The sequence below is a fragment of the Homo sapiens genome, chromosome 14 (genome assembly GCF_000001405.40).
Source record: "Homo sapiens chromosome 14, GRCh38.p14 Primary Assembly".
Lineage (NCBI taxonomy): Eukaryota > Metazoa > Chordata > Mammalia > Primates > Hominidae > Homo > Homo sapiens.
The window spans coordinates 77,866,877-77,889,565 of record NC_000014.9 but is presented as its reverse complement, the minus strand read 5'-3'; the positions used below and the strand labels follow the sequence as shown (position 1 = coordinate 77,889,565).

Here is a 22,689-nt window from a genome sequence, read left to right as displayed (position 1 = left end):
ATGGAAACTCTTCTGCCTCAAACAGCATCTGCAGCTCCCACTCCCATGTCTATGATCTGGGAGTAACATAGAGCAAGTTATTTTCCCCAGCTGTACCCTGACTGATAAATAGTTGTCCCCCTTCTCTATAGTTTAGCTTTCCAAGGTTTCAGTTATCCAAGGTCAACTGTGTCCTGAAAATAGGTGAGTACAATACAACAAGATATTTTGAGAAAGAGACCACATTCACCTCACTCATTATAATTATATGTTATAATTATATTTTATTAGTCTCTTACTATGCATAATTTATAAATTAAACTTTATCATAGGTATGTATGTGTATTAGTCTGTTCTCACGCTGCTAAAAAGACATACCTGAGACTGGACAATTTATAAAAGAAAGAGGTTTAATGGACGCACAGTTCCACATGGCTGGGGAGGCCTCACAATCATGGCAGAAGGCCAAGGAGAAGCAAAGGCACATCTTACATGGTGGCAGGCAAGAGAGCCTTTGCAGGGGGACTGCCCTTTTATAAAACCATCGGATCTTGTGAGACTTAGTCACTGTCATGAGAACAGCATGGGAAAGACATGCCTCCATGAATCAATTACCTCCCACCAGGTCCCCCCCCACAACATGTGGGGCTTATGGGGGCTACAATTCAAGATGAGATTTGGGTGGGGACACAGCCAAACCATATCAGTGTGTATAAGAAGAAACAGCGTATATAGGGTTGGGCACTATCTGAGGATTCAGGCATCCACTGGGGGTCTTGGAATGTATCTTCACAGATAAGGGGGAACTACTATATATAGTTAAATATACCTAAACGTAATCACTTAAGCCAGAAACCTAAGATATTTGTCTCCTTCTCATTCATACCAGTCCTTGCCCCCACCCCATGTGTAAAGCTGGTCACAAATCCTGATGATTCTGCCCCTTGAACCCATCCATCTCCCTTACTCCCATTACACTCCTCACTTCACATCATTATTTCTGTCTCAGACCCATGCAGCAGCTCAATTCGTCTCCTGGCTACAGTCTTTCTGCCTTCCAATCCATTCTCCAGACTCCCAACAGATTTTTATTTCTAATGCAAATCTGATCATGACAGTCCCCTGATTAAAATTCTTAAATGGTTCCCCACTGACTACAGGAAAAAAATCAGATCTGCTCAGATCCACAAATATGTAGTGAGTGTTGACCATACATACCATTCTACGCCTTAGCTTGGAATACAAACCCCCCGTGTTCTGTCCTACCTACCTTCCCAGCCTCATCTCCACTTCGAGCTCATACCATCTGAACAGGTCGAAGTTATCCAAGTACACTCTGTCCTCCAAGCAGTCAGGCCCTCACACCCGCGGGGCTGTCCTTCCGCTGCCTGGCTATCTCAAGAGTCACCATCTTGCTGCAGCCCCCTTGGTGCCCCATCCATCCAGGCACAGTGCTACATGGCACTGTGCAAACACGCTGTGACTGTTTACACGCCTGTCTCCACTAAATGAGGATTACCCCAAGATGAAGATGGGGCTCACTCACTCTCATGTCCCCAGCACCCACCTAGCATAGGGTGCAGAAGACCCTCAATATATGCATCAAGTTTGGTTAGAGTTGAAAGAATAAACTAAGAGTCCAGAGTGAGGAAGGGGAGCAAAGGAAGGGAAACAAGAAAAGGAAGAAAAGGGACATACTGACAAATTAAACAGATTGCTGACCTCCCCGTAGGCGGTGATGGCTACTGACTCAAGCAGTGGCTGCTCAGCACCTTCCGCCCTTACTCTGAGCACAGAGCTAGAAAAGTCCACTAAGGGTTTTTCCTAGGACCGTTCAGACACGTGAATTTCTTCATTCCAAATAAGTACCAGAGAAGCAAACCTGCAACCTGCATAGATGTTTCTATGTGATCTGTATGTCATTTTTATATCCCTGTTGACCACATGCTCCCTTTTGTTACAATTTAACAAATTAAGATGTAATTTTGTCTATCCCTTTGGTAGACAAAAAACACACCTTTGGTTCAGCTCATTTCTACAACATCCCTTCCCTGAGGTCCCCTTGGCCCCTAGCAGCCACTTAGTGTGTTTTGAGACCATCACAGGCAGTTCCTGGGAACTCCAGGGACAAATCAAGAACTAACCCATGCTGCCACAGGGTTTCATGGTCAGGGAGCTGTCATAACACCTCCTCTGTCGTAATCTCAGCTCTCCTCTCCCTCTGCTGCTTGAAGGGCCACACTCCACTCACCAGCTTGAACCAGTTCCACCTAGGTGGCCTGGATCCCAGGGAAATGTAGACTGAGGACACAGGAAGGAGAAAGGGAGGGCTCTCACCTCCATCAGGAGAATGTCCTTCGAGCTCTGAGCCCGCACCTTTGGGTGCTGGACCTTCACGGCCACCGTCCGCCCATCATGCAGCACTGCCTTGTGGACCTGGGCCAGGGAGGCCGTCCCCAGAGGGGTGTCATCGAAGCTCTGGAACAAATCATGGATCTGTCGGGAGTGGAGAGAACAGAGCAATGAAAAAGATGACCCAGTTCAGTGAGAGGGAGCCAGGAAGATGGGCCAGAGTCAGGGCTGCCTAGTGCCCCCAGGACAGATTTGAGAGAGAAAGAGAGAGAGAGTGTGTGTGTGTGTTGTGCGTGTGTGTGTGTGTGTGTGTGTGTGTGTGTGTGTTGAGACAGAGTCCCGCGCTGTCGACCAGGCTGGAGTGCAGTGGCATGATCTTGGCTCACTGCAGCCTCCGCCCCCCAGGTTCAAGCAATTCTCCTGCCTCAGTCTCCTGAGTAGCTGGGATTACAGGTGTGTGACATCACACCCAGCTAATCTTTGTATTTTTTAATAGAGATGGGGTCTCAAATTCCTGACCTCAAGTGACCCACCCACCTCAGCCTCCCAAAGTGCTAGGATTACAGGCGTGAGCCACTGCACCCAGCCTCCAGGACAGATTTTTTTGCTTTATCAGTTGTGTACCAGCCCAGGGTCTTGCCTGGTCCTCCACTGCTGGACATTCACGGTAGGCATACAGAGGAAGGGGGACAGAAGACGTACATGGAAGGCGCATCCTCATACCTGTGCACGGGCCCCTAAGCACCTCCATCAAAGGCCAAAGAAGTGCTCTTCAGAACTGAGCTTTATTTGCCCATTGAACTGTCCACCACTGTGCCTTCTAGGCTCTTACATATGGACAATCCAGCATTAACAGAATGTGGGCCCGGGGCAGCCCCAGTATCTCAGGGATCAGACAGAGGATGTGGGCCCAGGGCAGCCCCAGTATCTCAGGGATCAGACAGAGGATGTTTCCATTCTACCAACCAGGGGAGCTCAAAGAATCCTGGGCAGAGGCTCCAGACCAACAACTGCCTTTTGTTCCGGCCTGAGCAGCAGCCTCAACATGGGTCACCAAGTCCACTCCCAGCCTGGCCACTCCAGCAGAGACCCCAGGGCTGCAAGCCAGAACTTTGCTCTAGGTCATCACCTGCAATGCCACTCGAAGGTAGGCCTGGACAAAGCCCCTTGCTTTTTCTGTGCCTCATTTTCTTTTTCTATGAAGTAGAAAATATACTCCTCACTCTTCCTTCTTCTTTCTTCCTTCCCTCCTTCCCTCTTAGAAATGCCATACCAATATTCCTGAAGGAAATAAAATTCCCTGACTTGAGTGGTCACACCTACATGTCCAGATCCAAATATTCTGCCAACTAGGAAAGAGGCCCCTAAAGGTCTTTTCCAAGATTGGCCAAGGCTGAAATCCTAATCCTCTCCATTTCTTTAAGCCTCTGTGCAGCCTCACAATCCTGGAAAGTCCAGACATGTGCACACACATGCACAAGCATGTATAGATGCCTGCTGTCCTGGCCCACCCTCCTAGGCCCTCATGCTTTGAAGTCTATTCAGTCTGCACAGCCCTTCCTCCCTCTATCCCTGCTACTGCAGCAGCCACTCTGCCCTGCCCCTCCACTCCTCTCCTTGGACTTCAGATGTCACATGACCCACAGCCACCATCCCACCCCATCTGCTAGGCTACACCATCACTTTCCTAATCTCGTCTCATAAATCACTCCCTCCAGCCCTGTCATCATTGTTGTAGCTTTCACTAAACTCCATCCCCATTTATCAACAACCTGCCCAGATGAAAGGCCCAGGCCACATGAGGAAAGGCCTACGCTTCTCTGTCAGGAGAGATGGGTATGGGATTCGCTTCCCTGGCCCCCTTCATCCTGGTTGGTTTGTTATTTGTGTCTCTCCCAGTGTCTGGTTCTCCCTGCTCCCCCAAAAACACACTTGTCTTTTCTCCTCCTTCGTGAATTCTAGACTCCCAATAGCAAAATTCTTCCCTTGTCATCCACCCAATCACCCTGAGTTTCTCAGCATAAGAACCCTTTATCTTGGGCCTGGGTTTGGGATCATCATCCCTGTAAACCCCATTAGGACATCAGCTCCAAGTGGGCAAAGATTTTTGTCTGTTCTGTCACTGCTGAATTTCCTGCAACTCCCTAGAACAGGGCTGGAACTAGTTGGTGCCAAACAAATTTGTTGAATGAATGAATCCACTATTCCACTGGAGAAGAATTGAATCAACTTTTCCTTCCCTTTGAAATGGCTAGACCTTCCTGTCCCCACATTCCTATGAATCCAAAGACCTCAAACATGGAGCTTTCCAAAATAGAAAAAGCACACCTGTTCCTCCAAGGCAGGTGTGAGGCCCTGGCCTGGCCAATCAGGACCCTGAATATCTCTGGCCACATGCATTAGTTCAGAGATATACAGGTAACTCAACTGGTCCAATCAGACTCAATCATTTTACTTTCGTTTGATATAGATGTTTTTCTCAGTTGAACCTGAACATAAAAATATAAGCCTGGGGTAGAACTGCTGAGGGTCACATAGTAGCAACAAAGAAGAAAGCCTCTGCTGCAGAGACAGAGGGAGTGAACCCGGGCCACGGTGTTTGAGCCTCTTGATCCAGCCATGCCTGAGTACCCACCCTATGATTCCTTTTCCTGCTTAGGTCAGTTTCAGTTATCTGCCACACACAACTGAAGGGGCTCTGATGGATATAGTGTTCTCAGGCCCCAGCAGGGATAAGTGAAAAAAACACAGACCTGGTGCCCAGGCCCCACACAAGACCCAGTAAATGTGAGTTCCATCCCTTCCCCACCCCCTTGCTGGGACAGGGACCCAGGAATGGAAGGGAAGGCAGAGCCTCGGCAATGTCCTCAGCTGTTACATAATGAGATCAACACCAAGTCCCTTTGCAAGCCCTCTGGAGTTCCTGAAGGAGCACCAAGCAGAGGGTTTTCTGGAGCAGAGCTGTGAACTCACACCCTCATCTCTCGGGCAGCTAAAATGGCCCAATCTTCCCACTGAAAAGGGATTTGGGGGTCATCTGACATCAGTCCTTACCCCAAGCCTCCACCTGACTCCCAGGAACATGTGCTCATTGTCTGAGAAGGACAACCAGTCTCCAAGCCAGTGTCATTGCAGGGGCACTGCAGAGTCATTGTAACTGAAGAGTGACATGGCATCACTAGGGCTGTGTAGCAGGAACAGCTGCCAAGAGCACCCCACAGGGAGGTGAGGGAAAGAAAGAGCTGAGGCGAGCAGATCCTAATCTCCAGGGCGAGAGGAAGCCTGGTCCACCACATCCCCAGAGGACATGAAGGAGGCCTCCCACAATTCCCCATCCCCACCAGGGGAATCAAGGGGGCCCCAAGATACCACCTAATCCCAGTGGCCAACTCAGCACCCTAAACAAGAGCCAGCTGTGAGGACTTGCCCACATCCCAGTTCCACCAGCAGAAGCAAAGATAGGCATGGGGAATGAGGATGCACCCCTCACTGGGCACCGGAAACCTGTCACACAGACACCCCACCCCACCACCTCCCCAGTGTCCCTGCAGCCATCTTTTCCTTCTCTATCAGGAAGCAAGTCACACGCCCACACCCTCCTGTGCTTAAGCAAGCACACACACATACACACACATGATAATTGATTGCTAGTGGATGTTCCTAGCTGGCTTATAAAAAAGGTAATTAAAGATTGGTGCTGCAGCCTGTAATTAAATATGAATAAAGTATCTCTAAATGGAACCTTGATTCAAAGTGTTCAGTGGAAGTACTTTATGCTGATAGATGGTAAGGAAAAATAGACCCTGTCCCGAAAGCAGAATTATACCCCCCATGCAGCTGAAACAAACACCACCCCCCTCCAATCAGGCCTCGTCCCCCAGCCCTTTCAGCAGAAAACCATTACCAGAAACAAACTGCAGCATTTGCAGCAATTAGATTCAAGCAGGGCCCTCAGCTGCCTCCAGTCACTCACAGAAACTTGCCTCCTTTTCTAAGGCTTTCTTTCCCCATTTCTTTTTTTCCCCCGCTCTGGGTCTAGCGGCAAAATCAGTTAAGTAAAACAACTGCATTTTAATATGACTAGTTACGTGCTTTTTAATTACTGTCGGCCCGTGATTCAAATATATCGATGTCCCTGTCTGGAAAAGGAAAAATAATCAGAAAAAGAGTTTCTCTGGCTTTTTATCATTTGGTTTCTTTCTCTGTGTGTGTGTGCACACATGTGCGAAGGGGGGAAGTGTTTGTCATTTAATGAGCAAAAAAGCACGGGGGGGGGGGTGGTGTAAGAAAAAATGTGTCATCCCCTAGGGGCTTGACAAATCTGGGGCAGTTAAGTCCTCAGCAGTCTGGCTTCATGAGCCTGGGAATCAGGAGACTAAGTGACATCATACCCAAGTCAAAGGGCAGAGTAAGAGACTATCCAGAAACTCCACCCTGCAGAGTCCCATGAAGCCAGGGTACTGGACAATGTTTCCAAACTGCCACACTGAGCAGCCAAGCACTGGCCAAGACCAAAATAAGGTGACAGGAAGTCAGGATCTTCTAGAGAAACCACACGACGCCTCCTGAGGAGTTTTGCTTGGAGTACCTTAAACAGCCCCTCCAGATGCCACAGCGTGGCCAGCCTCAGGGCCCTCAGGGAAGGGGCTCCTCAATCACAGGATGGGGGACGGCTGAATTCTTCCAAGATAGCCCACTTTCAAATATTGCAGCCTGCTGTTCCCATACTCGGTCACGTCAGGCCGATTTTGGTTTTAGAAACTACATCACCGTATCAATAATGCATCTCACAAACACCGAAATGTCTGGCTCCAGATGCAGACGGAAGCCTGCCTCAAAGCAGGCAAGCCCAGGCCTAGATGCCAAGACCAAGCAGTTCCCACTTAGGGCACCTGGGGCAGAACCAACTCAGGGCAGGTTACCATGGCATCAGCAGCAAACAACATCTGGCTCCTGCAGTCTCGAGCTGGCCCCCCCTACACCTGGCTGGGTGCCAGCTGCCATCCACTGGAGCCTGGTGAGCAGAGAGACAAGTATCTGTCCACACTAATGGAAGTGGTTGGAGAGAGTTTCACCCACCCTTTCCCACCCCCAGCCTAAGGCAGACACAATAACTCCAGCTATCTAGGACTCTGCAAAACTCAGATGTCTGCCTTGGGCAGAAAACCCACCACCACCTCTCCAACACCTCTGTTTGGAACCCATCCAGTTCTCCCCGTACCACTTCCCAGGGACCTGCCCCAGATACCCCTATATCTTGTCATTGCCCTATCAGCCAATACCCGCTTTTGCTGCAATTCCTGCCCCTCTCCTTTAAACATGTCTGATTTGTAACCCACCTCTTCAGAATTATTCCTGTATCTTCCAAGGTGACCTGACGGTAACAGCAAGTGGCACAAGCACACTCATTTCCCGGTGATAGCTTTAAAATATGTTCACAATGGCCAGGTATGGAGGCTGATACCCGTAATCCCAGCACTTTGGAAGGCTGAAGCAAGAGGACTGCTTGAGGCTAGGAGTTCAAGACCAGCCTGGGCAACATAGCAAGATTCTGTCTTTACAATTAATTAATTATTAGGGGGGAAAAGGGTGAGAAACCACTGCAGTGTCCTAAGCATGGAAGTGACATGCCCTGATAGGTGTTAACAGAATCTTTTTAGTACCAACTGGATGTTAAAAATTAATTAATTAACTAAATAAAACATGTCCATAATTTTTTAAATAATACTCCTCCCTTTGAGAGGGGGCACCTATTCCCCTCCCTTGAGTGTGAGCTGGAATTAATGATCCACTCCCAACAAAGAACACATGGAAGAAGCGATAGCATGGGACTTCCAAGACCTAGTCATAAAGGCTGTGACGAGTCTCTCACTCGCCCTTGGATTGCTTGCTCTGGGAGAAGTGAGCTGCCACGGCATGGTGACACTCGTGCAGCCTGCAGAGGGGTCCATGTGGCAAGGAACCAAGGCCTCCTGACAACAGTGAGCCGTCTTGGAAACAATCCTCCGGCCCCTGCCAGGCCTCCATAGGACTGCAACCTCATGAGAGACTCAGCCAGAGCCTCCCAAATTCCTGACCCAAAGAAACTGTAAGATAACAAATGTTTATTGATTTAAGTCACAAAGTTTTGTAGGTGGGACGTGGGTAATTTGTTATGTGGAAATAGCTAACTAACACACCCCAAGCAAACCCATGCCAGACATCACCAGTCCATTCCTGATGATCCCAGATGGTGCCTTGGAATCTCAACACAGTGCTCCAGGCAGCCACTACAAATTGACCAGAGTTCATATACGAAATGAAACCAATTTGCTATTCCTTAGCCTAAGCCAATCAGTCAACACATATTTACTGCAGGACCATCATATGACAGGAACCATGTTAATTACATAGGGTGTACTTAACACAGTCTCTGGCCATGAGGAGACGTCCAAAGGCAACAGCCTCTCAGAAAAACACACTTGTATTTTAGCAGGGCCTGCTGGAGACAGTGCTTCCTGCACATTGCTGCTTCCTCCAATCCTGAAAGAAATGTTCGGCAAGGTAAGAAGAGGAGACCTCTGATGTGACCATGGTGATCAGAGGGGAGAACAGGCATCAAGTGTCTCTCTCCCTCCTCACTCCTTGTCTGGACCTCTGTCCCACTCAACAGCTGCTCTGCCTCAAGGTGGGAATACCCTCACCACCAGCTTCCCGCTCAGAGCAATTTATTATAATAAAAATAATAATGGCAATAACAGCTCAAGGACACGCCGACCTTGTCTTCCATGGAGTTTGTGTTCTTTCTGGGGTTCCAAAAGATCAAACTATTGGTTCTGCAGAGCCATTAGCTATTGCTGTTGCCAAGCTGAAAAGAAAATGAAGGGCCAGCAGCAGAACCTGAGGCCCTCCTGACAAGGGCCAATCCCAGAAATTACAAAACTGTTCCTGCACTGAGGCTGGCACAATGCTTGCCAATTGCTGAACCGCCTCCTGGCACAAGGCCATCACCCCCCTGGCTCTGTCAAGGGCATCACAGGTCAGACCAAGCTTCTTTCTTCCCTCAAGATGATGACCAGCGGCTGACAGGTAGGGAAGAAAAGAAGCCAGGGGCACCCATACTCCAGGATGGCTGTGTGCGCACTCTGAGACACGTCTATCAGCTCGTCAGGACAGTCTAGCCTGAGAAGCTGTAAGGCTTGGTGATTCCAGTGCAGGCTCTAGGTCAAACTGCCAAGGCTCAAATCCACTGTACCTCAGTTTCCTTATCTGTAAAATGGTTATTTTAATATTGACCTCATAGGGTCATATGAAACCACATACATAAAGGGTCTAGAATAGAGCCTATAGTAGCCCCCCAATAACTGCCATAGTAGTGGGTGCCTCACATGACGCCTCCAGTTATGAGGGCAGAGTGCTACAGTGAAGAGTGCTGGGCACAGAGTCAGCAGTTTCGGACTCTCAGTCTGCTTCCATCAGTGAGTGTAAGCCACCACCCTCATTTCCCCAGAGACTGCAATGACCTCCTCACCAGCCTGCCCTATCTCTTCCAATCCAGCCTACACATGCAGCTAGGGTGAGTTTCCCAAACATAAGCTGATCATGTCACTTCTCGCTGCATAAGTCACTACACCAGCTTCCTAGAGCCAAAATCTTGAACATGACCCATGGGGTCTGACCCGGCCTACCTCTCCTGCCCCACCCTCCTCCCTCTGCTAGAAACATATGACCTCGTTCAGCCACCAGCATGCTCTCTGCATGCACCATGGGCCCTTTGCACACACTGTCCCCTCTGGCCAAAAGGCTCCCTTCCCCCACTCATTCTTCCAATCACAGCTGAACAATCACCTCCTCAGAGAGGTCTCCCCTGCGTACATTCTCAGGGTTCATGCACCTTCCTTGAGAGCAATCGCCACAGCTGCACATTTACCTCTTCATATTTGCTTAATCTCCCCCTTCTCTTCTAGACTATAGACATCTGCTTTTGCTCAGCACTGCATCAAAAGCACCTTACACCTGATGGTACTCGGTAAGTATTTCCTAACAGATGAATGGAATTCAGGTTAGATTTCCCCTGTCCTCATCAGGGAGAGGGAACCTTGGGCCCTCCAGCTGATCCAGGGGAGCTGAAACACCTCCCAGAAGTGGCTACAGTTCCTTCACGGTGGCTGAGGGAGCCTCCTAGGTGCTGGGTACCTTGAGAGCTGTGGATGAAGGGACTCTACGGAAATGTTGTGATAATAATGATTAATAAAAAGCAGATAAACACCCAGTGTGGCTGGCCAGCCTGGGAAGCCATCCAGTAGAGCTGTCATTCATTCGTGGGGGGGGAAGGGACAGTCCAATCAGACCTCCCAGTTTAAGCAAACCTTCTGTAAATTGTAGGCCACAGGCACTGACATTTGATAAATTATTCTTCATAATCCACCGTTGGCTATCATAAATCTAATCTTTCAGCATTCCCCATCTTAATAACATCTATAGCCTCACAGGGTGACATATCTATGTCCCTGCCTGTAACAGAGATCTCTAGGGTAAAAGAGACCAGAGGTCCTGGACACAGTACAGTATGAAGCCAGAGACACCCAGAGCCAGGGCCCAGGCCAGGCAGGTAACCCCTGGGTGATCCAAGTACTGAGGCAATGAGCCAGCCCTGAGCCCCAGAGGCCAAGTGCTTATGCCCCACCACAGTTGAGAGAGGTGGTACCAGGAGATTAGACCCAGGCAAGACGGGCCCTGCACCCAGCACTGCAAGCCTGCCCACGTGAGAACCCACCACCTCCCCCTTGAATTTGAGCTTGGGTCAATACAAGGGAATGTCAGGATATCTTTGCCCTGCACGGACTGAATGCTCAACCATGGGTAGTTCCTTATATCTGGGTAAGGTCTGGTCCCTTCAAAATGCTCGTATGTAATTCTCAACCCTCTCTTGAGGTTAGAGGAGAGATTATTGCCTACATTTTATAAAGGAGAATATATTCGCTATGGATCACTCATTTATCTATCCAACATATGTTTACTAAGTGACTAATATGTGCAGGGCACGATGTTAATCACTGGGCATTTGAGGAGTAAATCCAAAGTGGGTACAGCCACCAGCCTCCGGAGTTACAGCTAGAACTTAGAAGTCAAGGGAAGGCGATAGAAAGTAACCACATAATCACAAATAAAAGTAAAATGGCCAACTCTGACAAGTGCAATGAAGGGAAAGCTGGCACCATAAGAGCCTATGCTCAGGGGCTGAACCTGCTCAGGGAGAGCAGAGAGAGCTTCTCTGAGAAGATGACAAACAGCAGAGATCTGAAGGCTGAGGAGCCAGTTAACTAGCTGAAGAAAGGAAGGAGAAGCTGGCCAGGTGCAGTGTCTCAACATCTGTAATCCCAGCACTTTGGAAGGCCAAGACAGGAAGATCACTTGAGGTCAGCAGTTCAAAACCAGCCTGGACAACATTAACAAGACTCCATCTCTACAAAAAAATAAAAAACTAATCAGGCATCGTGGCACACACCTGTAGTCCCGGCTATTTGGGAGGCTGAGGCAGGAGAATCGTTTGAACCCAGGAGGTAGAGAAGCCTTCCAGGCAAAGGGAACAGCATGTGTGAACCATGAATAAGGAGAATGAGACACAGAGACTGGAGAGAGCCAGAAATACAAAAGCCAGCAACTCCCAAACTAGGAATCCAGACTTGGTTTCCCTATTTCCCCCTTGGGAAGGGGTCCCCATCCACAGCTCCTGCCCACTGAGGTGAACGCCCAGCCACAAAGGCTCACATTCATTTCTGATGAGGGCCGTGAATTCTAAAACCTGACAAGCTCACCCTCACAAAACCCCAAAGGCCTTTTCCGACAACCCTCAGTTGTTCCTGCATCCACAAAGCACAGCATTCTTCACTTACAGCAGCTCCATTTGCTATCAGGACAGACGTCCTGGGCTTCAGGAGGTAGCAAAATGCCACACAGCAAATGTGCCTAAGCTATGATGCTTGCCTCGGAGCCAAAAGCAAGTAAATACCAAAGCCCTTTGTGTTTTTGTTTGTTTTTGAGACAGAGTCTCACCCTGTTGCCCAGGCTGGAGTGCAGTGGCATGATCTCAGCTCACTGCAGCCTCCACCTCCCAGGTGCAAGTGATTCTCTTGCCTCAGCCTCCCAAGTAGCTGGGACTACAGGTGCGCATCACCACACCCGGCTAATTTTTATATTTTTAGTAGAGACAGGGCTTCACTGTGTTGGCCAGGATGGTCTCGAACTCCTGAAGTCAGGTGATCCACCCGCCTTGGCCTCCCAAAGTGCTGGGATTACAGGCGTGAGCCACTGCACCCAGCCCCAAAGCTCTTTGTACATGCAAGGATGTTGCACCCAGTAAAAAGCTTTCTGGATTCACTTGGCATATGATACCAGCAGTGCCCAGGAATTTTAAAGGGAGGTAAACCCAGGCTCCATGGATCTACTGGGGAGACGAAGTCCACACTTGGGAGGTCGGGGGGTGGCAGTCAACATAACTCTACTGGCTCAGTTCAGCAAGCAGAGCAGTGATTAAGAACACTAGCACAGGGATCAGCGACCCATCTCTCTCTGCCTTGGTAGACCTGTGGTTTACTGGGGCGCATGCTCATTTGTTGACATGTTGCCCATGGCTGCGCTTGTGCCACCACTACAGAGGTAACCAGTTGTGACAGAGAGATGGTATGGCCTGCAACACCTAAAACATTTATTATCTGACACTGTGGTAGGCAGAAAATGAGCCCCCCAAAGATGTTCACCTTATATGGCAAAAGATACTTTGCAGGTGCCCCAAAGGCAAGGCTTTTGAGGTGGAAAGATGAACGTGGATTATCCAGGTGGGCCCAATATCAACCCAAGAATCCTTACAAGAGGGAGGTAGGAAGGGCAGAATTAGAGAAAGAGATGACATGACAGATGCAGAGGTGACAGGGTAAAAAAGGCAGAGGGAGACTGGAAGATGCTATACCACTGGCTGTAAAGATGAAGGAAGGGGCCACAAGCCAAGGGAGGCAGGTGGCTTCTATAAGCTGGAAAAGCCAAGAAAAGGGAATCTCCCCTAGAGCCTCTAGAAGGAATACAGCCCAGTCAACACCTTAATTTTCAGACTGCTGGCCTGCAGGATAAGATAATAAATGTGTGTTGACTGAAACCATGCAATGTGTGGTAATTTGTGACAGCAGCCAATAGGAGCCTCATGCAGGCCCTTTACAAATTTTACAAACCGATGATTACAGCACTAGTGTTACGCTCTCAGTGGAAGTCCATTTTTAGTCTTTTGCAATATTTTGCAGGGTCATGGTGGGGCTGGAAAGCTGGGGAATGAGATGAGGGGAACATAGGTCAAGTGTGAACCCCAAGATGTGAGACCAGGAAGGGGAACATCACAGCTTCCTAGTTCTGCCATGCCAGGCGAGGACACTTGAAACCAGTCCCTGTTTCCCTCCTGGGCTTCCTCCTCAATGTCATTCCTTCCCAGCACCAGGGCCAAATGCTCAGCCCTGCTCAGTTGAAGCGACATCTTCCTCTCTTCCCAAGGAGCCCAATTTCCTCTGCCGCTCACGTGCAGGCAACAGTCCATAGTTCACACACAGCAGTGGGGCCAGGCCAGACTCTCATCACTATGAGGACTTCGTGGCTGACGTGCAGGAGCAGCTCTAGCTGTTGAAATAACAGCCTCTCCATCCACAAACCCGGTGACAGGGAAACACTCACACCCCAGAGCTCTCATTAGATCAGGGTGCTAAGGAGTTTTCTTTTTTTTTTAATATCTAGAAACCAGGGACCGTAGGCTGTTCAGCCTCTCAATGCTGAACCCCACATTGCTCAGTGCCACTTGCCGACGTTCTGACCACAACCCACTCGCTCCTACCCTGAGGAAAGAGGAGGCAACTATGCAAATTCCAGCATTATAGAAAATTCCTTCCCCGACTGCCAGTAGGATGACCTGCTAACACCCACCACCGTCCATGCCAGAACCTGGGGAGGTGACTGTGGCACCTCCACCTCCTCCACACCTCTCCATGTAACCCATCCTTGAGTCCTGTGGTTTCCATCTGCAAATATGTCAGTCCTCTCCTCTCCACTTCCCTATGTCCAAGCCACCGCCCCATTTTGCCTGGATGACCATAACTGCCCCATAACTGGTCTTCCAGTGAGTTCTACTCTTGTTCCCCACACCAGCCTCAGACCCCCTCAGCACACCCAGCTCAGCTCTCCAGCCTTATCTTTCAGGGTCTCTGTCTGCCCTGCTGCCACCAAGCCCCTCCTGTCCCTGGACAGACCCAGGCTCTTTCCCATCCTGAGGTCTCTGCATTCTCGTTCTCATTGTCCCATCCACCTGTCCCTTAACCATCCTCTGGTCTCAGCTTCAATACTGCAACCTCCCTGCAGTCACTCAAATGCCAAGAGGAAAAGTCTAGGGCACTTACCACAGGTGTTATTAAAGCTTTATTTTTCTCCTCACACATTTAACAGCTGCTATTCCCCTATAAATAGATCATAGTGCCCTGATGGTAGCTTGTTCACCCTCATAACCCCTGGGGCCAGCACACAGAAGCGCACTAAATACCTGCAAAGTCAAACAATGAATACACAAATGATTGGTGAAGCCCCAGCAGGGAGAGGGGACACGCAGAGTCCACATACAGTAGCCCCTGCCTGTGGACACCCAAGCCATCCAGGCCCAGCACCTGCCCCACCCCAGCCTGGGAGACATAGGCCTCCCTAGTCTGGCCTCAAGGTTCAGACCCCACCCTCAGGTGACACCATAAAGGACTTCTTCAGTCCTGCCCCAAAGGCCTTCTCCATGCCTTTCTGTACATTCTCCTCTTGACCACACTGAAGTCCTGCTCACCTCTCACCTCCTCCAGAAAGCCCCATCCACCCCTCCTGCAACCCTATTTGCAGATTCCAAGAACACCCAAATGCTGTAACCTAAACCTCAGATAACTTTCTCTCTTCTTGTGCTGACCTCTTTCAAAGTTCAGTCTATAGCTCTTTCTGTACCATAAAATGTAAGCTCCTCAGAGGCATCAGGGTGGTTGTGATGAATCAAGAGAACTCAAGCAAAGCAGCCCATGCAGTTCCTTCCTCCAACCCTCTTGTCCCATTTGTACCACTGTGGAAAGAGTTCTGCACTCTCAGTAAGAGTACGGGGATGGGGGGCAGTCTAGTCCCACAGTCTCCCCACTGCCACCACCCAGCTGTGGGACCTCAGCGAAGTCACCTCACCTTGGGTATTAGTTCCTCACTTGTAAAAGCAGAGTGTTAGAGTACTTGATCCTGATTAGCCTTTCTAATGCCATGATCCTGTAACTCCTACCTTCCATCCTAATGGTAGCCCAGTGTATTATTCTGTTCTCACACTGCTAATAAAGACATACCCAAGGCTGGGGAATTTATAAAGAAAACAGGTTTAATTGACTTACAGTTCGGTGTGGCTGGGGAGGCCTCAGAAAACTAACAATTGTGGCAGAAGGGGAAGCAAACACTTCCTTCTTCACATGGCGGCAGGAAGGAGAAGAATGAGTGCCCAGTGAAGGGGGAAGCCCCTTATAAAACCATCAGATTATGTGAGAACTAACTCACTATCACAAGAACAGGATGAGGGAGCTACAATTCAAGATGAGACTTGCATGGGGACACAGCCAAAGCATATCACCCAGCCTCATCCCAGCCAACCTACACACACACACAAGTGCACACATTCAAACACAAGTACATACTCAAGTCCAGTTCTCCACCTGGGGTCAGGCTACACTGCCCGGTTACATGCAGGCACACACACGCACACTTATGCACATGCCAGCAGTTGCCGAGGCTTCCCTTCCAAAGTGGCACAGGTAAAGCCACTGATGAGCTCCCCTTGAACAGGGCCTCCCATGGCATAAATCACCAAGGAGGCCTGGCCTGGGAAATGGGCTTGTTTCTGAAGCTCCATGAATAAAGAAGCAGGCCCAGCTGGCCTATTCATAATCAGCATAAAAACTTGATTAGCCCTTTCCAGATTAAACATTATTGTTTTAACAGTGAACATAAATCAGCTAGACATGGAGGGCTCGGCTCCCTCTGCTGCCAAGTGGCAGCAGCAGGTAGAAAGCGGTGGGGAGGGAGGTGAGGGATAAGAGACTACTTATTGGTTACAGTGTACACTGCTCAGGCGACGGGTGCACTAAATCTCAGAATCACCACCAAAGAACTTACCCATGTAACCAAAAACCACCTGTACTCTAAAAACTATTAAAATAAACATTAAAACTTTTTTAAAAGCAGTGGGGAGGCCGGGCACAGTGGCTCACTCCTATAATCCCAGCACTTTCAGAGGTCAAGGCCGGCAGGTCACCTGAGGTCAGGAGATCGAGACCAGGCTGGCCAATATGACAAAATCCCGTCTCTACTAAAAATACAAAGAATTAGCTGGGCGTGGTGGCGGATGCCTGTAATCCCAGCTACTCAAGAGGCTGAGGCAGGAGAATGACTTGAACCCGGGAGGTGGAGGTTGCAGTGAGCCAAGACCATGCCACTGCACTCTAGCCTAAGCAACAAGAGTGAAACTCCATCTCAAAAAAAAAAAAAAGGAGTGGGGAAAGGGGACCTGGGGGCGGCACAGCAAGAAGACCCAGCTCTAAGGAAGCAGGCGGGAGAGCAAGAGGGCACCCCCACTCTCCCCCCAAGGCCAGCCCCCCATCTGAGAGCACAGAGAGGCAGCACCTTTCCCAGGGGTAAGACAGGGAAGAGCCTAACACCCCACTTCCCTCTTCTTCAAGAACCTCCTCAGCCACCTTATGATTGGCTTTTAGGGAACACAGGTCAGAGGCCAGCCCGGAGCGGAAGGCAAGATGTGCGGTCAGAGGAAAGGTGCTGGCCCCGCCCAACCTCGCAGACAGATCTCTCGGGTCACTCACCTCCCAGAAGCAGCTTGTGTGACTGAAGTGTGTGTCTCTGGAGTCCGGTGACACTCAAGCTCAGTTCCTGGCTCAGCCACCATCCTGCTGTGTGACCCTGAGGAAGTTACTTAACATCTCAGAGTCTCAGTTTCTATGTCTGGAAGTGATGGGAAAGGGACGCCAATCTCTCTGAGCTGTTGTGAGGACTAGATGAGACCATGTGTTTGAAAACATCTAATTCATGCCCAGGACAGAGGAAATGCTAAATATTCAGTTCCTTGACCTGCGAGGTTTCCTCATCTGCCTGCCCTGCCTCCCACTTGGGAATGCTGACAGAAGGCGTAAGCTGCTAAGATGAGAAAACTTTGTGAAAAGCGCAGGACCCTTTGCAAAGAGCCATGGAATGCTGGGGTTAGAAAGCCTGGGTTCTGAAGCCAGACCTGACTCTGCTCACGCTCTCTGAGTGACTTAGGCATGAGACCTAACATCTCTGGCCTCAGTTTGCACCTCTGTGAAATAGGAATAATAAAAACAGTACTTACTCTCACAGAGCAGTTGTGAGGCTTCTTTGAGATGATGCTGGCCTAGCCCTGACAGTGCTCCACCTGCTCCCCTCAGACCTCCCCTTCAGCTCCTGCATGACCCCCAGGATTTGCATCTGTGCCAGAGACTCCCTGGGACTTCCAAGTCTCAGGAAGTATCAGCTCCCAGGAGCAGCTGTCAGTTAAAGAAGTTAGGGCCGGGCACTTTGGGAGGTCAAGATGGGCAGATCACCTGAGGCCAGGAGGTTGAGACCAGCCTGGCCAACATGGAGAAACCCTGTCTCTACTAAAAATACAAAAATTAGCCTGGCTTGGTGGCGCATGACTGTAATCCCAGCTACTTGGGAGGCTGAGGCGGGACAATCGCTTGAACCCGGGAGGCAAAGGTTGCCATGAGCAGAGATCATGCCACTACACTCCAGCCTGGGCAACTGAGTGAGACTCTGTCTCAAAAAAAAAAGAAGAAGTTAGGAAGTTGGTGTATGAATGAATATCCTACCTTGGCCCTTGGGTGGGATGGGTGAAAGGTACGTATTTGACACCATTTCCCAGTCTGCCCACAGGACTAACCTGATTTTGCCCACAGTAGCCACTGGTTTAAGAGCAGAGAGTTACCAGCTGCCTCCCCCTTCCTGAACCACATCCCCACTTCCCTACTGGCAACATCTGAGCATCCCACAACATCACTTTTACTCAAATTATTGTTTGTTTTTAGGAAAGCCCAAACTAAGACAAGCATGTATTCCTCACTCATTTGGCCATGTTGGCCAGTATGTTCATTGTACATCTGGGCAGGCCTGAGGCTCCTCCAAAAAGCCATCCCCTCTCCCAGGACTGCCACGAGGAAGAACAGACCTCTGGGTCACGAGGAGACAGGGAGAGGCATCAGAAGCCACTGCAATCACATCCACCCTGCCCATACTGACAGCCCCAGCCCTGAGTGGCCTGCAGGGGAGACCTGTTCCCCTTCTCCCTGGAGAAGAGAGGGAAGGCCACGAGTTCCAGTCAGGGAGGAAATGAGGACTCTGTGACCCCTGTGGCAGTCCTAGAAGGCATGGGGCCAACTGCCAGGGCAAGTCCTTCAAGAGCCATAACCATGGCATTTGTCCTCCAGGCTATGGCCTCCTGACTCACTGCCCAACCTGGGACACTCACGCTCTGAGCTCCAGGGGGATGTTGAGGGGAGAAAAAAATGGCACCTGCCCCAGCTTAGGGAGACAGCTAAAAAGGTTCCATAGGGAGAGCTCACCTTTGCAAGATATGGATGATGGAAAGAGCCTCCTCGCAGGGCCCCTCCTTTGGCTCCCTCCATCCGTCCTACACCATTAGCTCACTTTGCCTAAAATGTCTCTTTATCAGTCTTGGGCACACACAAGAACACACAGGCTATTAGCTGATTTGACTTTACTTCTAAGACCTGGGGCCTAAGAAGATACCCTAAAACTTGCCACAGCAAGACCCAATGCCTATGGCTCTCTTTAACGTCCCCCAGAAACCAGCCCTTCTGCAGGGCTAGGAGCTGCATAGCGGGAAGAGTGGAGATGTCATCAGAGCTCAAATCCTGGTTCTGCTTCTTACTGGCTACATGAACATAGCTGTTACCTTCTCAGGGCCTCTGCCTCCTCAGATGGAAAACCAGAATGGTAATCTACCAGCCTTACAGAGTTATTGTAAAGGTTACAAACAATATCTGTAACACATCCAGCCAATGCACACTACATAACAAGTACCAAATAAACACAACCATATGTTATTATCCACCAACACTAATACCTACCATCTTGTCTGCCTTTACCCATCTGTGTTGGTCCATTCTCACGTTTTTATAAATACCTGAGGCTGGGTAATTTATAAAGAAAAGTGGGGCTGGGTGGAGTGGACACTATTTAACCCGGTACAACATCTGACTTAGGCTAAGTCAATCAGAGTCCTGAAATTGGGGAGCAGGGTCAGGCCCTCTTAGGTGTGAAGCTGAGAAGAGGTGAGGCTAAAAGCTGTCAATGGCAGCTGGTCATGGAGGGAAGCAGCTGTGAATGAGGCTGACCCACAGACAGAAGTTGCTGGGAGAGATACAAGAGTCCCAGAAGACACCCCAAGGCCCAACTCTAGCCCAACCCTAACTACAATGTAACACATCTCCTTTTTTGCCTTAGCTAGTTCAAGTTGGAGTTAAGATCCTTACAACCACAGAAGACCTAATGCACCCATCTGTTGTGGGTTGAACTGTGCTCCATAAATATTCATATGTGGAAGTCCTAACCCCAGCCTAGAATGTGACCTTATTTGGAAATGAGGTCATTGCAGATATATTAATAATTAGTTAAGATGAGGTCATACTGGAATAGCACAATCATAATCCAACATGACTGTGTCCTTATAAAAAGGGGAAATTTGGACACAGAGCCAGACACCCACATAAAGAGGATACCATGTGAAGATGAAGGCAGAGATTGGGGAGATGCATCTCCAAACCAAGGAACAGCAGGGATTGCCAGCAAACCCCCCAGAAGCTAGGGCCGAGGCCTAGAACAGATCCTCCCTCGCGGCCTCAGAAGGAACCCACCCTGCTGATACCTTGATCTCAGACCTCTGGCCTCCAGAACTGTGAGACAATACATTTGTTGTTTAAGCCAGAGGTTTGCGGCTAGCCCGAGAAAACCAATACGCCATCCAACCAAAGCTCCCTGCCACTCCAGGCCAGCTTGTCGGCTCTCTGGGCATTGAATTACCTGTGGTCATTACTCACCACCAACTGCCAACCCTGTGTGCCCTCAGAATTCCCCTCCTCAAATCTTACCCACCCTTCAAGGACCAGTTCAAAGCCCAAACCCCCACCACCAGGAACCCGCCTCTGAACTTCCCCTGAACTTCCCAACCATCAGCCCCACAGCTGAGGGCTTAATTGTTCTCTAATTACTCCCTCTGTGCACGGTTCTGCCTGCTTGGCTTTGGAGGGAGGGGCACAGCTTTAACATTCTGTATATCCCCCGCTGCAGTGGCACATGGGTAAGAGAATAGCAGTTGCTCTACAAATCTGTATTCTCTAGGTAAGCAAACCAACAAGTGGTGGGTCCCAACCTTCCCGGGGTTAGTGAATGGGGCCACCATGGGTTGAGGCCTTTTATCTGCAGGAAGTGGGTATGGAACAATCCAGACACACCAGCCGATCAGAGGGCTTGGGCACGACCCTGAGCACTAGATCCCAACAAAGGGGAGGCACCCCACGTGCAGCCTGTGGACTGAGAGTGAACTGGTGAGCACATTAGTATAATCACCCCAAACCACTGGCAAGACAAAAGACTGGAAGAAGGACAAAAAGAACCATAGGATCCTGGACTTAGGAAAATATGGCTTCCTCAAAGTCCGCAGGAAACTACAAGGTCCCAAGGACAATGCAAGCTACGGAGGCCCACTGGGTGGCTCTGACAGCAAGCCCAGCCCGATTGCTCGATTGAGTGCTGCCCTCTCTTCCGGGCACTGAGCTTCCATCTGAAACAGAATAGTCCAGGAGAAAGAGCACTGGATCAGGAATCAGGAGACCTGGGTTCTAGTCCTGTTTCTACCACCAACCAGTTGTGTCATTAAGCAAGTGACTGCCCCTCTCTGAGCCTCAGTTTCCTCACCTGTGAAATGTGGGGGTCGCACTAAATGATTTATAAGCCCTCACAACCCATGAGTGATTCTCCCAGATAACTTTTGTCCAAAGCACTTGCCACTGAACAACAGAAGGTGAACAAACAGAGTCAGTATTTGTTAAACCTCAGGAAGATCGAGGCACCAGGCAAGGTGCTGGATACAAGATGAGGGTGCTGGTCTTAACTGCCAAATTTTGCTCTCGCAACAACTCGACACGTAACAAGCACAGCTGACAGTGAACTGGCATTTACCATTCACCAGGCAGTGCACTTTGGCTGGGCTATAGCATTCATTCCTCACCACAGCCCTATTCATGTGAAGGCTCTCTTATCATCCCTGTTTAAACATGAGGAAACCAAGGCTCAGCAAAATCACAAAACTTACCCAGGATGACATAGAACATGGTGACACCAGGATTCAAGGTGCAGGACACAGGCCGGGAGCAGGGCACAGACAGGGTACAGGCCTGCAGGAGGGCAGTGGTCACAGGGAGAAGGTCGGGCCAGATGGGGCATCAGCAGGAAGCACAAGCCAGGGCCACCTCGACCATTGCCTTGCCTCTCCCGCAGTGACTAACAGCAGGCCATCCGTCCGTGCTGACAGCAATGCTTCCTGCCATCCATCTCCCACTAGTTAAATTGCAATTTTATGGCCGAAATCTCTCTCATAATTGATAAAAATCTTCTTTTGATGTCAGCATTATTGGGGGGGAAATGGGTTTTTTTATTCTTCATTATGTTTTTAATACAAATGTATTTTTTATTGAGAGCTGCTGGGAAGGCAGGATGAGGCCCAGCTGGGAGGAGGCGATCCCACTCCCTGGCCCCTAGTCCTCCTGTACATGGCTTCATGGCCACCAGATCCTTCTGTTCCATTCCCAGAATATTCATTTGGTAGCCTTCTTGGGGACAGTCTGGGGAGACAAACCAGATGCCTGAACAAACAAAGGTGGTGCTCAGGACCAGGAGAAGCAAGTCTACAGACCGCCAAAGGTTTCCAGGTAGCTTTGGGCCCGTGATGCAGCCTGGGCTGCTAGAGGGTGAGCTGACCTCAGCTGGACCCTGCCAGCATGGGAGAATGGCACTCCAAGGGGCACAGCCAGGGCGCTCCAGGGGGCAGGAACCCCAGGGGCTGGTGTAGTACCTGGCACAGAGGAGGTGCTCAATAAATGCACATGAGTAAATAAGAGGAGGATGGGGAGAAGTTGGATCAGTGCTGGAAAGAAGCAAACAATATGAGAGCCTGGAGGCATCTCTCCCCTGCGGGGGCTGCAGGCACAGGTGGAGTCAGACCCCAGGGTAGGAGGGGCTCTC

General features: G+C 49.8%; 1 protein-coding gene across 14 annotated transcripts in view; it reads right to left on the bottom strand.

The window, feature by feature from the left end:
* Nucleotides 1-22,689, bottom strand: part of ADCK1 (aarF domain containing kinase 1) — a 134,906-nt gene that overhangs the window by 45,449 nt on the left and 66,768 nt on the right. For 13 of the 14 annotated variants that reach the window (NR_158989.2, NR_158987.2, NR_158988.2 and 10 more), the window contains one exon: nucleotides 2,317-2,475. The exons of the other annotated variant lie outside the window; for it this stretch is intronic. Coding sequence is in view for 10 of the 13 variants with exons in the window: in NM_001366490.2 (NP_001353419.1) it covers nucleotides 2,317-2,475 (159 nt within the window). In the remaining 3 variants the exon portion in view is untranslated. The remainder of the gene's footprint in view (nucleotides 1-2,316; nucleotides 2,476-22,689) is intronic. 14 annotated transcript variants of the gene reach the window in all.